Source organism: Homo sapiens, chromosome 13, assembly GCF_000001405.40.
Source record: "Homo sapiens chromosome 13, GRCh38.p14 Primary Assembly".
In the NCBI taxonomy this organism is placed as follows: Eukaryota; Metazoa; Chordata; class Mammalia; order Primates; family Hominidae; genus Homo; species Homo sapiens.
The window spans coordinates 20295397-20309132 of record NC_000013.11 but is presented as its reverse complement, the minus strand read 5'-3'; the positions used below and the strand labels follow the sequence as shown (position 1 = coordinate 20309132).

At 45.2% G+C, this 13736-nt stretch overlaps 1 long non-coding RNA gene across 1 annotated transcript in view; it reads right to left on the bottom strand.

The window, feature by feature from the left end:
• LOC105370102 (uncharacterized) overlaps window positions 1–13445 on the bottom strand; it is a 30534-nt gene extending 17089 nt beyond the window's left edge. The window contains exon 1 of the long non-coding RNA XR_941720.2: window positions 13340–13445. This is a non-coding gene — a long non-coding RNA (uncharacterized LOC105370102). The remainder of the gene's footprint in view (window positions 1–13339) is intronic.
• Between the last annotated feature and the right edge of the window lie 291 nt (window positions 13446–13736).

The following is a 13736-nucleotide window of genomic DNA, read 5'->3' as shown; positions in this document are numbered from 1 at the left end:
CTGTCTTTGTACTTAAAGTACATATTTTCTAGACAATATATATTTGAGTATTTCTTTTAAATAGTTTAACAATCTCTGCCTTTTAATTAGGGTGTTTAGTTCACTTACATTAATGTAATTTTCACATCGTTGGGTTTAAGTTGACCATTTTGTTATGTGTTTTCTTGTTTTCCCATCTGGTTTTGATCCTTGATTCTTCCTTCCTTGCCTTCTTTTGGGCTAATCAAATGCTTTCTAATATTCTATTTTAATTCTTCAATTGTATTGTTTTAGTGTTTACTCTAGAGAATCTATTTAGAATTAATATTGTACCATTTTACATAAAACATAAGAATCTTACAACAGTAAAACCGCATTAACCTCCATCTCTTGTGCTCTTCTTATCACATATTTTACATCTATGTAAAAGAAAAATCCTGGAATATAAAGTTATTATTTTGCTATAAGCAGTTTTTTTCAAAACAAAATTAGGAGAAAAAATATATTCTTTTATTTTTGCACACATATTTATTCTTTCTGGTGTTTTCTTATTCCTTTTTGAGAATTCAGGTTTCCATCTGTTCTGATTTCTCTTTAACCTGAAGAATTTTCTTTAGCACTTCTCGTAGGCTAGGTCTTCTTGTGATGAATACTATCAACCTTTTTTAAAACATCTTTATTTTATTCTCAGTTTTGAATGATTTTTCACTGAATATGGAAGTCCAGATTGGCAGGGTTTGTCCCTTCAGCATTTAAAAAGTGTGATTCCGTGGACAGGGAGCATCCAGTGAGAGGCACAGCTTCTGTGCAAATTCAGGGGTGAGCATCAAAGTGCAGCAGTTGGGGCCAACACTCAATTATATCATCTGGGGAAGGAGGCAAGCAAGGTGCAATCTCATGGGTTCCACACCCCTCCAGCGAATGTTTTTATCTTAGATGTTAAATTTTCCAGTTCTATCTTTCCTTAAACTTTTCCATATTTTTTTAAAGTTTTTGTTTGCTTATTCCAACATGTAATCATCTTGAGGTCTGTTTCTATTGACTGCTGTTTTTCTTGATTATGGGTCACAGTTTCCTACTTTATCACAAGTCTGGTAATTTTATATCATATGTTAAGTGTTGTGGATGCTATTTTGTAGGGAACATGTATTATGCCATCTTTTATTAATGGGTATTGAGGATTTTCCTGGCAGCATATCTTTTTGATTCTGCCAGGTGTGGTTTTATTCTTTGTTAGGTTGGGTCTATTTTGGCTCTGAACTTAATCATAGGGTGTTTCCATTGCTCTGGGATGTAGTCTTTCTCCTAAGGAATGACCTTTCTGGGGTCTCAACTGAAAACACAGGTCAGTAAGGCGTCTCCACTTAGGCTGGAGCAGATCTCCAAACATCTGCCAACACTGCACAGCCTCTCGTATCATTGCTCATGGCTCATCTGCAGAGTAAGCCATCTTTGCTAGGCCTATGGAATCTCATCCTGCACAGACCGGCCATCAGCCAGGAAACAGTGAATCTCCACATAGACTCCTGAGCAGCCACTCCCCATTATTTTAGCTCCCTGTTCTTTAGCACCTGCCCACACATTCCAGCTGCCTCACCCACCCCAAGCTCCAGTTTCTGCCTGTTCAGCTCAGTGAGACCACCATTCACTTGGACTCCACTCTCTGATGCTGTGGCAGAAAAGTCCCTCCACATAGAAAGCCAAGGCTCTGAGGGCCGCCTCGCATGTCCCTGTTTCTCAAGGTCACAGTTCTGCGGTTTCTCCTGTTTTATAATTGCCTTTGGCAGGACGGCTGGTCCTCCACCAGTGATCCCGCCATGGCCAGAAATGAAAGCATAATTTCCCATCTTTAAAATGTTGTACTTGGAAGAAAATGCTTCTGGGAGCTGGGAAAATTTTTTACCAACCAATGCAAAGCTTTGTAGTGCAAGAGGTAGTTAGCTGTTTGGAAATGGAAACCTCAAATGTCTCTGGTTTCTTACCTCTATTGATCATGATGATTGTCACAAACATAATTTATACTGAGACATTATATTCTTTGCAGTACATTCTTGAAATTGCACAAACGAACTTTTCAATGTGGAAAAATTCAAATACATATATACAGACGTGGAGAATAATGACCTCCCATGTTTCCATCAATTTGCTTTAACAACTATCAACTTATGAACAATCTCATATGCTTGGTGCCCCCAGCGCCTCTCCCTAGATGGCTCTGAGGCAAGTCCCAAACAACAGACTATTTTATCCATACATATTTCTAAAGACACAGACTCCCTCTTTTAAATAAAAGCACAATGTAATCTCACCTTAATATTTCCTCAGCATCACTAAATATCCAGTGAGTGTTCACATTTCCCTAATTGTGCTATAATTTTTAACCCTTTATTTATTTGAACGAGGTTCTTATAAGGCCCCTGTCCTGTGATTTGCTAATAAGCCTCTCATGTCTCTTTGAATCTATAGTTTCCTGCCAATGTGTTTCCTTGTTTTTCCTTCTAACTTTCAGAGCTTCCCATAGTCTGTGCTTTGCTGATCACTTCCCCAGTTGTAGACCTGTGGTGTCACTTAACACGTTCCTCTGTTATCTGTATTTCCTGTAAACTGGTATAGATCAAGATGCCTAACTGGGATCAGGCTCACATATTTGGCAGGGTTATTTCACAGGTGGTGTTGGTTCTTTTGTTGGCCTAGGGTTCCCCAGTTCCCTACTCCCCACCACCCGCAACTTTCTTTCCATGTCCTGACCAAAAATCACAGAACGTCTTGACAGCTCTATGACCCTCTTAGCTGCAGGTTTTCCCCTGCAGGCTTGAACCCAAACTGGGCCCTTGAACATTTGCAGGCACCAAATAAGATATCTGCGTTGTTGTCCAAAGTACTGAGAGAAACTGGCCCTGGCCCTGAGCCAAATTCCCTAAACCCTCACATAAACTCCATGCCCTGGCCCTCCCTAGGTAGAATGCTTCTTCCCTCTCGCTGTCCTTCACAAGGATACGTTGTAGCCTACTCTGTGAGTTCCCCTAATAAATGCTGTGGACTGATCACCCTGGCGTCTAGTGCTTCTTTCTTTGGAATCCCAACCAACTCCACCTTAGGATGGTTTGGGGCTCTCCCTTGTAGGAACTCCCCTGCCAGCACTTTTGGGGTGACTCCAGCCACAGGTTTGGCAGGATGAAACAGCTGGGCACATATGTCTGAGTTTTCTCTTTATGTAGGAGAGGCAGGATAGGCGTTTGACTCTTTCCCTTTATTTATGAGTTTTCAAAATAATGAATTGGCCCCCTAGTGTCTCCCAAAGGTAATCAATGATCTTCCAGTATCACTAGGAACTCATAGATCAGACCCATTTGGTATGTTTCTATCTGTTGCAGTCAGCACCTTTTTGATACTCACGTTGTGCCATCCTTGACCAGTGGGGGTCTCAGAAGTTGACTCCTGAGTCCTAACACAGCCCTAGCTGTCTCTAATGACTTCCTTGCTTTCTGGTGTGACAAGATGTTGAGGGTCCTTCTTGCACATGTCCTGCCCCAGGCTGGGACTCAGCCATTTCTCTGGGAAGCCCTGTTTCATTTTGCTGGGAAATGCTATTTAGAGCCCACTCTCCAAGCACCAAGACACCTTGTTTCTACTGGATGGATCATCATTTTTAGGGTAGATCTAGATTTTTTTTTTTTTTAGGATAAAATGAATCATGAGTTCATCCTGGTGCTTTCTGTTTTCATTCAGGGTGGTGGCTTTTCTTACTGAACCTCATTGATCTTACCTCTCTCCATACAAAAATCCTGGTTCTTAACAACCAAAGTGATTACTTCTTTGCTTTGTCTCACATCACACAACAATCTCAGAATGACAATACCAACATTAGCATAAACAATATCATTACTGAAAACACAAGTTTTCTTGGTTGTTTTTTGAAGTTCATGTTACCCTTCATGTAAATCCCATAGTCAAATTACTGTGGTTTAATGTTGCTTTAGATGGTTCTGATGTGGGGTTCTGTCACCATCTGAATACTCAGATGCATTTGTTTCTTTTTCTTTTCCATTTTTAGGGATTGATTTTAACGTTTAAAATTTGTTTTATAATTAAGTAAAGTATTTATATGGTTCCACAGTCCAGTCTACAAAAGGAGGCACATTCAAAGAAATACAGCTTCTGCCTGGTCCTCTCCACTTCATAGTATCTTAGAGATCACTCCATAACAACCTGTAATATACATGGATGTGTGCATATGTGTTTGTGTGAATGGGTGCTTTTGTATACATTTAAGTTCATAGCTCTCCTAAAGAATATGAGCAGAACATCTGAATCTTGGTGTGAATTGCTTCCTATGCATTGTATTCAAGTTCTATTATTTACCATTTGAAGAAATGAATAAATTTCTTAGATTCTGTGCAATTAAAAATTGTGTAATTTGGTTGAATATAATACTTCATTGCATAATAGAGAGATTTAGATGGAATGAGAACAGACAGACCTTTCTATCCCTTACTTTTGTATCCCTCCATTTCCTGATCTGTAAAGTCAGGAAGTTAGATTCTTCCATGTCACACATTCTCATGGGACCCTGTCCTTGTCTTTTAGCTCATCTTTCATAACTGTAATTAAAATGACTAATTTCTTTTTCTTTCTTTCTTTTTTTTTTTTTAAGATGGAGTCTTGCTCTGTCGCCCAGGCTGGAGTACAGTGGCATGATCTGGGCTCACTGCAACCTCCACCTCCCAGGCTCAAGTGATTCTCCTGCCTCAGCCTCCTGAGTAGCTGGGATTACAGATGCCCACCACCTCACCCGGCTAATTTTTTATTTTTAGTAGAGATGGGGTTTGGTCATGTTGGCCAGGCTGGTCTTGAACTCCTGACCACAGATGATCCGCCTGCCTCAGCCTCCCAAAGTGGTGGGATAACAGGTGTGAGCCACCGCATCCGGCCTAAATGACTACTTTCATGAAATCTGTCTTACCTGCTAGATGGTGAGCATTAGGAAGTGAGGAACATGTCTATCATATTCTGCACTGTATATATAGTGCCTAGCACAGTACCTGGCATGTGTAGATTAAAAATGGTTGTTGAGTAAATGAATGAACAAACATGGTTCTAAAATTTTGGATGAGAGGCATTTAAAATATGTAGTTGTCTATGTAGCTATTAGTAAACTCATCAGTTAAGAAAGTTTTTTTTTAATGAGGCAACATGCCTATGCCTGAAGGACACTTAAACACGCACATTCCATTTTATATTTCTTGCTAGAAATCTGCATTCCTGTGGTGACAGTAAACTGTGTTGGCTGCCACCCGCTGTGTGTGCTCTCCCCTGTAACTGAGGCAGGACAGACTGCCCGGGGCCAGCGAAAACACTGCAGGCAAATGACTACTATGGGCCAAATTGCTTCCGAGGATTACTTAACAATATGTGCAGAAGCCTCATGATAGTGAACTGCTCATTCCAAAATGTATACAAGGACGTTCTCTGCCATAAAGCTCATCAGAAGAACTAGAAAAAGCAACCTAATGTTAGAAATCACATTGTTGGGTAGGTCCCAGCAAGATCTCCCGGACTGCAGCAGCACCGAAAACAAACCACCCACTTGCAGTGTGTCCTCTCAAAAGCCTTGAGGATCAATATTCTCTACTATCACTACCCATCTTAAAGGATGACTTTTAATTTTCTTCTCAGGAGCATCCAGTCCCCTGATAATGATAGGATTCTTCTTTAAAAGGGACATTTCCGTTTGACACATCAAATATAAACAGAATCCAAAATAAAATATGGGGTGAGAAGACAAAAAACAACCAAACTTGACAAGCAGGAGAGCCCCACATTTTGTGCTTGAGAATAATTATAGCCTGGCTGAAGCCTTGAGGAGGGTCTATTTCTTAACCACACTGGAAACACCCTTCTCTTGTGTTTCTTGAACATTAATACACCCAGCAAGAGGTGACGGGTGCTAAAGGCACAATACCCTGATTTGGAAATCCTGCTGTTGTTTTAAGGGGACAGCTTGGTGAGCAGAAAGAACATGGGCTTGGGAGCCAGGCATATCTGAGTTCACCTGGCTCCACCCTGCAGTGGAGACTTAAACAGTGAATCCAACCCCGCTGAGCCTCAGTCTCTTCGTCTATAAAATGGGCGTGACACCACCTACTCTGCATGGTTATTTTGAGGCTTGGAGTGTAAGGTGCCTGGAACAATGTCTGGCACATACTTGGCACTCAAAATAACACCCCTGGGATTTCATGCTATCTCTGAGATCATGACCTTTTTAGCCTATTTTAATACTGGGTTAGATTAGGGGGGTGAACCAAAAGAGGGGTGACTACTCCCCACTACCTTCTCTCTAATGAGGAGCGGGCAGCCTGTATCATACACGCTAAAGGTAACGCACAAGACCGTTTTCAATGGCGCAGTTCTCCCTTTGGTAGAATGGGGTGCCAGAAAGGACTCTGGGGTTTGGCTTTCTGTTCCCACTGGTTCCATGACTTTGGAAGTATCATTTAGCCTCTCTCAAGCCTCATTTCTCCACCTATAAATAGATATAATACTATCTACCCCGCCTGTGCCACAGTGGTGTTAAAAGCACAGGGGAGTTGATGTGGACATCACGCTCTGCACCCTTCAGGGTGGCACACGAAGGACAGTCAGTATCCATCTGTCCATCTCTCCTGCCTTCCCTCCTGGCAACTGTGCCGTCAGCCTCTGGCAAGCCGTCCTCAACGAAGTATTAAGCAGTCTTGAGCGTGTTAGTGGATGCCTCCCTGGGGTGAGCGCATGTGACCAGGCCCAGGAGGAGCCCTCCCGGGTCCTTCCTGTCCTGGGAGCTGGGGTCACCTCTAGGCCTCCACGCTTTCCTCTGCTCTTCCAATGCACCATTCACTGTTCTAGGGATGTCTCAACAAACAGAAAAGACAAAACCCTGCCCTTTTGGAATGCATATCCTGGTGGGAGAGGTCAGAGAAAAAGCAAGTGGGTGAAATCCACAGTACACCCACGGCGCTAAGTGCTGTGCAGAGGCGGGAAGCAGGAGACAGGATGGAGGGGCCGGAGGGCTCAGGGGAAGGGTGGGAGTCAGGTAAGGCCCCGAGACCCTAGGGCGCGACAGAGGTGAAGGGATGAGTGAGGAACGGCTGGGGAAAGGTCTCGGCAGCGGGGAAGCGCGGAAGCCCAGGAGAAGTGCAGCGGGAGGCCGAGTGAGGCCGGGTCAGCGGCGGGCAGGCCACCAGAGGGTCTGCGGTCCTACCCCCGGAGACAGAAGGCCCTTTGCAGCGTCTGAGCGGATAAAGGGACGATGTGTGGGTGAGGGCGCCAGTGCGAGGCCAAGAGGCCCGCGGGAGGCTGTTCCGGGGAGAGGCGGGTGGCCCCCAGCGAGCGGCGAGCGGCGCCTGGTTCCGGGCTGTTCTGAGCGCGGAGCCCATGGGACCCGCGGAGGGGCTGCTGGTGGAGCAGGAGAGAAAGAGAAAAGCCAAGACCGGCTGAGAAAACCAGCCCCTGCCCTGCACCCCACCGCATTCACGGCGATTCAGGCAGATTCGCCGGGAGCGCGCCTGCTGCCGTTCCAGAGGGCAAGACCCAGGGCGTGGGGCCTGGTGGTAAACACCCTCCACCAGAGCCCGATCCAGGCCTCCAACATCACCAAGCGCGGTTTCTGGGAAGCGCTGCGCAGCCGGCGCAATCGGACCAGCCCCCGCGGGATGAGCCCTGGGCCTGCTCCCGTGAATGCTTCCCGGGGAAACACACCAGGCCGCCCTGAAACCTGGCTGGACCCCCGCCTCCTCCGCTAACTCTAGGCTCCCAAGGGCGCCAAGGAAGAGTTCCTTCACCTTTTTTCACCAATGCAAACCCAGAGTCTGCAGCAGTTCAATGGACATTTCTCCAAAAGAAACAACTTCATTAAACGGGATATTTCACTATGCAAAGGGGAATGTGATCTCAACCCCACTCTTACAACTCCCAGCAACCTCCAGGCTCACTGTATTTGTTTGATAGGTAGGAAGAGCTGAAACAGCATCTAGTCACGTATGTGTACAATGCTTAGACTAAATAAATTCTCCTGAGACTGTCTAGCTGATGATCCAATTTATACGTAGTGAAAATTGAGCTTATACTGAGCTGAGCATCAGAGGATTTCGGTTTTGGTATCTTAATTGTCTAATAATTAATGTCCGTTATATTAATCATAGCAAGAGTTTAGGTATTAAGCTATTAAATAACAGTGAAGAGGAAGGAAGATTATGCCCACTATACATACATCTACAATATAGTTTTTTGGTAAATACTAGGGTTTACATCAAAAAAAGGAATGAGCTGTAATCAAAGTCATTTCACTTCTTTGTTGACTACTAGGCTCAGATAGCTTTTCTATGACATTTATTCTGTCACTCTTAATTCTTTACACTTTATTTTGAAAACAAAAGATCAATCACATAACAAGAAGGGGTGAATAGCCACACCCTGCGGCAATGCCACAGTCACTCTATTTTATCAAATCACTGATAAATTCCTGTTTCGCCTGACTTATTAGTATCATCAGCTTTCCTTCTTAATGATATTAAAGAAATAGTGGACATATGGCAGATTAAACATAACTTCTTTTAATCTCTGCTTTTCCCCAAGCCTCATTAAAATGATCATAAATTATTTTTTAAAGTGTGTAAATCCCCAAGGATAGAGACCAGGTGAAGAGGCAACAGCAGATGACAAGAGTGCAACGAAATGTGGAAAGTGGAAACGGGTGCTGGTGGTGGCCACCTCAGCAGGGCGGCAGAAATCGCACCTTCACTGCCTGCAGGTGAGTTCCTCCCGTGCCTGCTGCAGAGTCGCTGTGGGGACAGGGCCTCGAAGGCAGAGGGATGGAGTGAGCTGAGAGGGGCCCCCCTGGAGGGCCATACGCGGAGCAGCGGTGTCCCCCTAGCCAGGAAACTGCCCTCCCCTTCTGAAGGGAATGGTAGCTGGTTCTCCAGTGAGGTTGAACCTGAAAGGCTCTGGACTCAGGGACACCAGGAACTGCTGAAGACAGGGAGCAGCCATCCTGAAAACAAGGGCTTCCGTGACTGTGTAGGTGCTGACCAGGGAAAAGTCTAGCCCTCCTATGAGACTTCCGCCAGTCACCCCGCTGTAGAGACACCAGCCAAAGCCCTGCCACGCACAGAGACTCCAAGCAACATTTTACTATGTGACTTCTCAGTATTAACAGTCAACTGCATTCTCCAAGAATGCTCTTAAAGGAAAAGATAAAACAAACTGAAAAAAATAAATCAGAGGAAAAAAACAATTCAGGAAGCAAGAAAATAAAATATCCCCAAACCTTCCACTATAATTAATATCCTCAAAGATGGGTATCATTTTCATGAACTAAGAAAGAAATGTTATGAAAATAGAACATTTAGAAAACAAGATAAGCTCTGAGAAGTTAAAAGTATGAGAGCAGAAATGTACAAAATAAATAGAGGCATGACATCACAGTCAAGGAAGACTCGGGCACCGAAAGAAAAAGTCCCTCCACTGAAACAGCCATAGCTGCCAAAGACTGTTGGTATCAGCTTTTGGGGGACTCTGGAATCTAATCTGAAATTTGTAGCAACCAAGGCACTGAAAAATGAAGAAAAGGCAGCTGGATTTCAATAAAACAGCAATGTGGCCCGTTCCCCTACCTGACTACGGTCCCATCCCCTAGTGGTAGTGGCTTTGGGGATGGTGGCCACATTCCTGGTGCAGCTTGCTGGTGCCAGGGACTAATACAGTCTGGTGGATCTGGAGTGTAGGGGGGAAGTCTACAAAGCAGGATGTGAAGGCCACAGTAAAGTCACAGGTGGCCTGGCTAGCACCGAAGGAGTGCCCTACTCTGAATCAAGCGGCAAAATCCGAGAAGGACGTTTTCCGCCTCTCTTTTGGCTTCAGGCATTTAAGGAAATCTCTCTCTCTGTTTAGATAGGATGATAAGATAAGAATGATCTCCCAGAAAGCAGAACAAAAAAGATAAATGAGCTCTGAGATATAGGAGAAAAAATATTTTTAAAAATCGAATAAGAAATCCAGGAAGTCCAAAATTAGAGTTCTAGGTAGAGCAGACTTAAGGAAAAAATGGAGGTAAGAAAAATTTCCCAATAAATAAAAACAGACTGACTGACACCATGAAAAATTGTGTTGAAACTTTAGAACATCATCATTCCAGAGAAGATCCTAAATGCTTTCAGCAAGGACAAATGAGGTCAGACACAAAGGACATGGAGTTGAAATAGCACTGGAAGAAGTCACGTCTGCCTAGGATGTAGAAAGCAGCACTGGTGTCTTCCCTACTGTAAAGATGAGAAAATAAACGTTTCTTGAGCCCCTAAGAGAACTAAGTTCATAAGGCAACCAAGTAAACTGGATTTCAAAGAGGCATCAGCCCCTCCAACGAGAGATGGACACACAAACCTTTGGTGGAGCAGAGGACAAAGAGAGAGATTGTTGCCGATTGGGTAAGAAGAAATTGGCTAAAATTTTAACACGTTTTTAAAGGCCAAGTGGGGGCAAGCACATGCAGTGCCTGTGGTGCAAGGAGAGTCTGTGCTTACTGGTGAGCTCATTTCCATGGGCTCCACAGTGAATCCTTACAAACACCCAGACCACAGGAAGAGGGCAGGAGCACAGAGGCTGCGGCAAGGCTGAGGAGCAGGTACCCCCTCCCACTTCCTTGGATGCTTCCCTGCTGAGACGTAAAAGCTACTGGTGCAGGGACTGTAGACCCTCTTGCCTGTTGCTTCTGGGGAAAGAGTAGAGGCCAGACCCATCTGCTTCAAGGAGAGAGGTGAGACAGCCCCTCCCAGGATGCAGACAAAGGGCTGGGTCACTGCTGGGGGATGGTGGAAGCAAAAACCCTATACCACTGGGGGACCGGGAGAACATATTTGGGGTTCAGGATCCTACATTTACAACAGGAAGAGGTCTGCAGGTGATGGAGGTGGGGGAGAAAACTCCCACCCAAATCCAAATGCAGATACAAGCAGCATGGTGGCCAAGGGGAGAAGGCGAAGGAATGCTTAACAAGCTCCGTCCCTGAGGCCCAGGTGCATAGGGCCTGCCTAAGACCGAGGTTGAAACAGGACAACAGAGAGCCCCGCCAAGCCCCCACCGCAAGTCCAGCTCTGAGTAACAAACGACAGCAATCTACTGCTCTGGGAGGGCCAAGAGCAGAGAGAGCCCCCTGTGTGCTGTGGTATAGGGATGGCCGAACGCTGAAAGGGAGCAAGCAAGAACACTGAGAAAACCCTCTGGCTCCTGAGTCCCTCTCTAAGCACCAGGCATGACAGCAGCCTGTCACAGGGGTATCTGAAACCCACGGTGCACTGAAGGTAATGACAGGAACAACAAAACTCCAACTCGGTAACTATCACACACAGACTTTAAAATACAGACGAAGGCTGGTGCAATGGCTCATGCCCATAATCTCAGCACTTTGGGAGATGGAGGTGGGAGGATCATTTCAGCCCAGGAGTTTGAGGCTGCAGAGCACTATGATCACACCAGCGCACTCCAGCCTGGGTGACAGAACAGGACCCTGTCTCAAAAATAAACAAGTAAATAAATACAGACTATGATTAAGTTGTTAAAAGATCCAGTAGAAAAGGTAGACAACAGGCATGAAGGGATGAGGAATTTCAGCAGAGATGGAAACCGTAAGAAAGAATCTAATGAAAAAGCTAGAAATTTAGAAACATGATATCAAATCAAATAATTCTTTCAGTGGATGAATTGCTAGCCTGAACACGAGCTGAGGAATGACTCAGTGAACTTGATGAGAGGTTCCAGAAAGACATTAGACTTCTCAACAGTCATAGTATGATCTGGAGGATGATTGCTGCCTTCAACCATCAATCAAGAGTGACTTTAAAGGTACTTTTGTACCTAAAGGGTCTCAAAAAAAAATGGATCTTTCATGCACCTTTTCTCAGGAACTTCTTGGAGTATATTCTCCACCAAAACGGGGGAGTCACCCGGAGACAGGAAGACATGGGTTCTCGAATCACGGTATCCAACAGAGGTGAGAGGCAAGGGAGGTTTCCAGGATGACAGTGACAGGAAGACGGCTATGGAAGTGGCCTAGAGGGAGAGGAGGACAGGGAGACAGAGGGCGGTACTGCCAGAAAAAAAATGGAGTGGTAGCTTATCTGAAGTATTGGACCACTGAGAGGAGTTTTATAGTCTGTTTGAATGTATGGGGCTGGATTAGTGAAGGGTACATTAAAACAAACAAACAAACAAACAACAAAAAACAAAAAAAAAAACTAAGCCAGCCAGCAAACACAGAAAGGACAAGAATTATTCTAGGAAAAAAATTAAAATGCCATACCAAAAAAAAAAAGGCAGATAATAGAGTGATGCCGCTCCAAGCAGGGAACTTCAGGGACGGATGGCCACCACCAGGAGCTAGGGACAGGCACAGGACTCAGCCCAGAGTCTCAGGGGACTGGTGGCTCTGCCAACACCTGGATCTCAGGCTCCTGGCCTCCAGATGTGTGAGAAAATTAATTCCTGCTGTTTTAAGCCACACAGTTTGTGGGACCTTGTTATAGCAGCCCTGGGCTGCTGATACGCTTACCCTTTTAAATAAGAATGTTCACACCTGAATAACTCTCAATTATCAACTGTCCAACTGGCCTCGCTCCTAATTGGCCAAAACATCCCTGTTGATAACCACGGACACACAACTCGCCGCAGCCTGGCTCCTCAACTCCACGGACCTCCACCTTCACTCATCAGCAGAGTACACCATGGGTTTTGTCACCACACAGACCCGCAGAAAACTCCCTTGAAGAAAGTGCCAAATTGTGGCAATTAAACACAGTATCAGTCATATATCGGCAGGGCCCTTCCTGCTGTAAAGGAGTCTTTTTTCTTCATTCCTTGCTAATCTCCAGCCACAGTCTCTGCAGCACCTGTTCTCCATCTTCCCGGAGCCCTCACTCAGGACTGGCTCCTGGGTCTGCTCAGTTTGTGCCCCCGCGCCTCGGGGAGCTGAGGTTCCCTCCGAGGCAAGTCTCCCACAGGCCCACCGCTGGGGAGCCCAGCTGCTTCATTGCCCAGGGCCTTTCTTTATCCTAGTCTCTAATCAAGCAGGCCTCCTCCTGGAGCTGGGTCAGCCACAGAAGCTGAAACACGGTGTAGTGGAAAGTTTTTTACTTTTTATAAATAAAATAAAAACTTTTTATAAATATAAATAAAAGGACACTTTTTATTAAGAAAGGCAGTTTTGCTTTTAAGCAACTTCAATAGCACTGAGAGACTTGACTGAGGGTGTTAGGAGGCTGCTTGGCCACAAACCCCACACTGCCAGTCCCCCTGGCCAGCAGCCTCACGCCCTGACCTCCTCAATTCCACTGACCTGCACCCGACTCCTCCACCAGCCACCAGAAGTATCACATCTTGTTCCTTGTCATGGCTTCGACCTGTTCTGCCCCCCAGGATGTCCCTGCCGGGAGATACCTCTCTGGACGGGAACTTCCTTGACTTCTGTCCTCCCACACTCGCACATTTGCTGAAGCTGCTTTCCTCCTCATCACCTGTGTCTAGCCCCTCCCTGTCCTCCTGCTCCCTTGTCACCCTCCTTTGAAGGTGATCATTGGCCTCTCCTCCTTCCCACTCAGAATTAGGCACTGTGGGTTGAAGATACTATGAGTGTATCATCATCACATTCAAATTACAATAGTTGAGAGTTACATTTGACTTTGGAATTCAGATGATACTGGTCCTGTTATTTATAAGTCTCATACTTTTGTGCT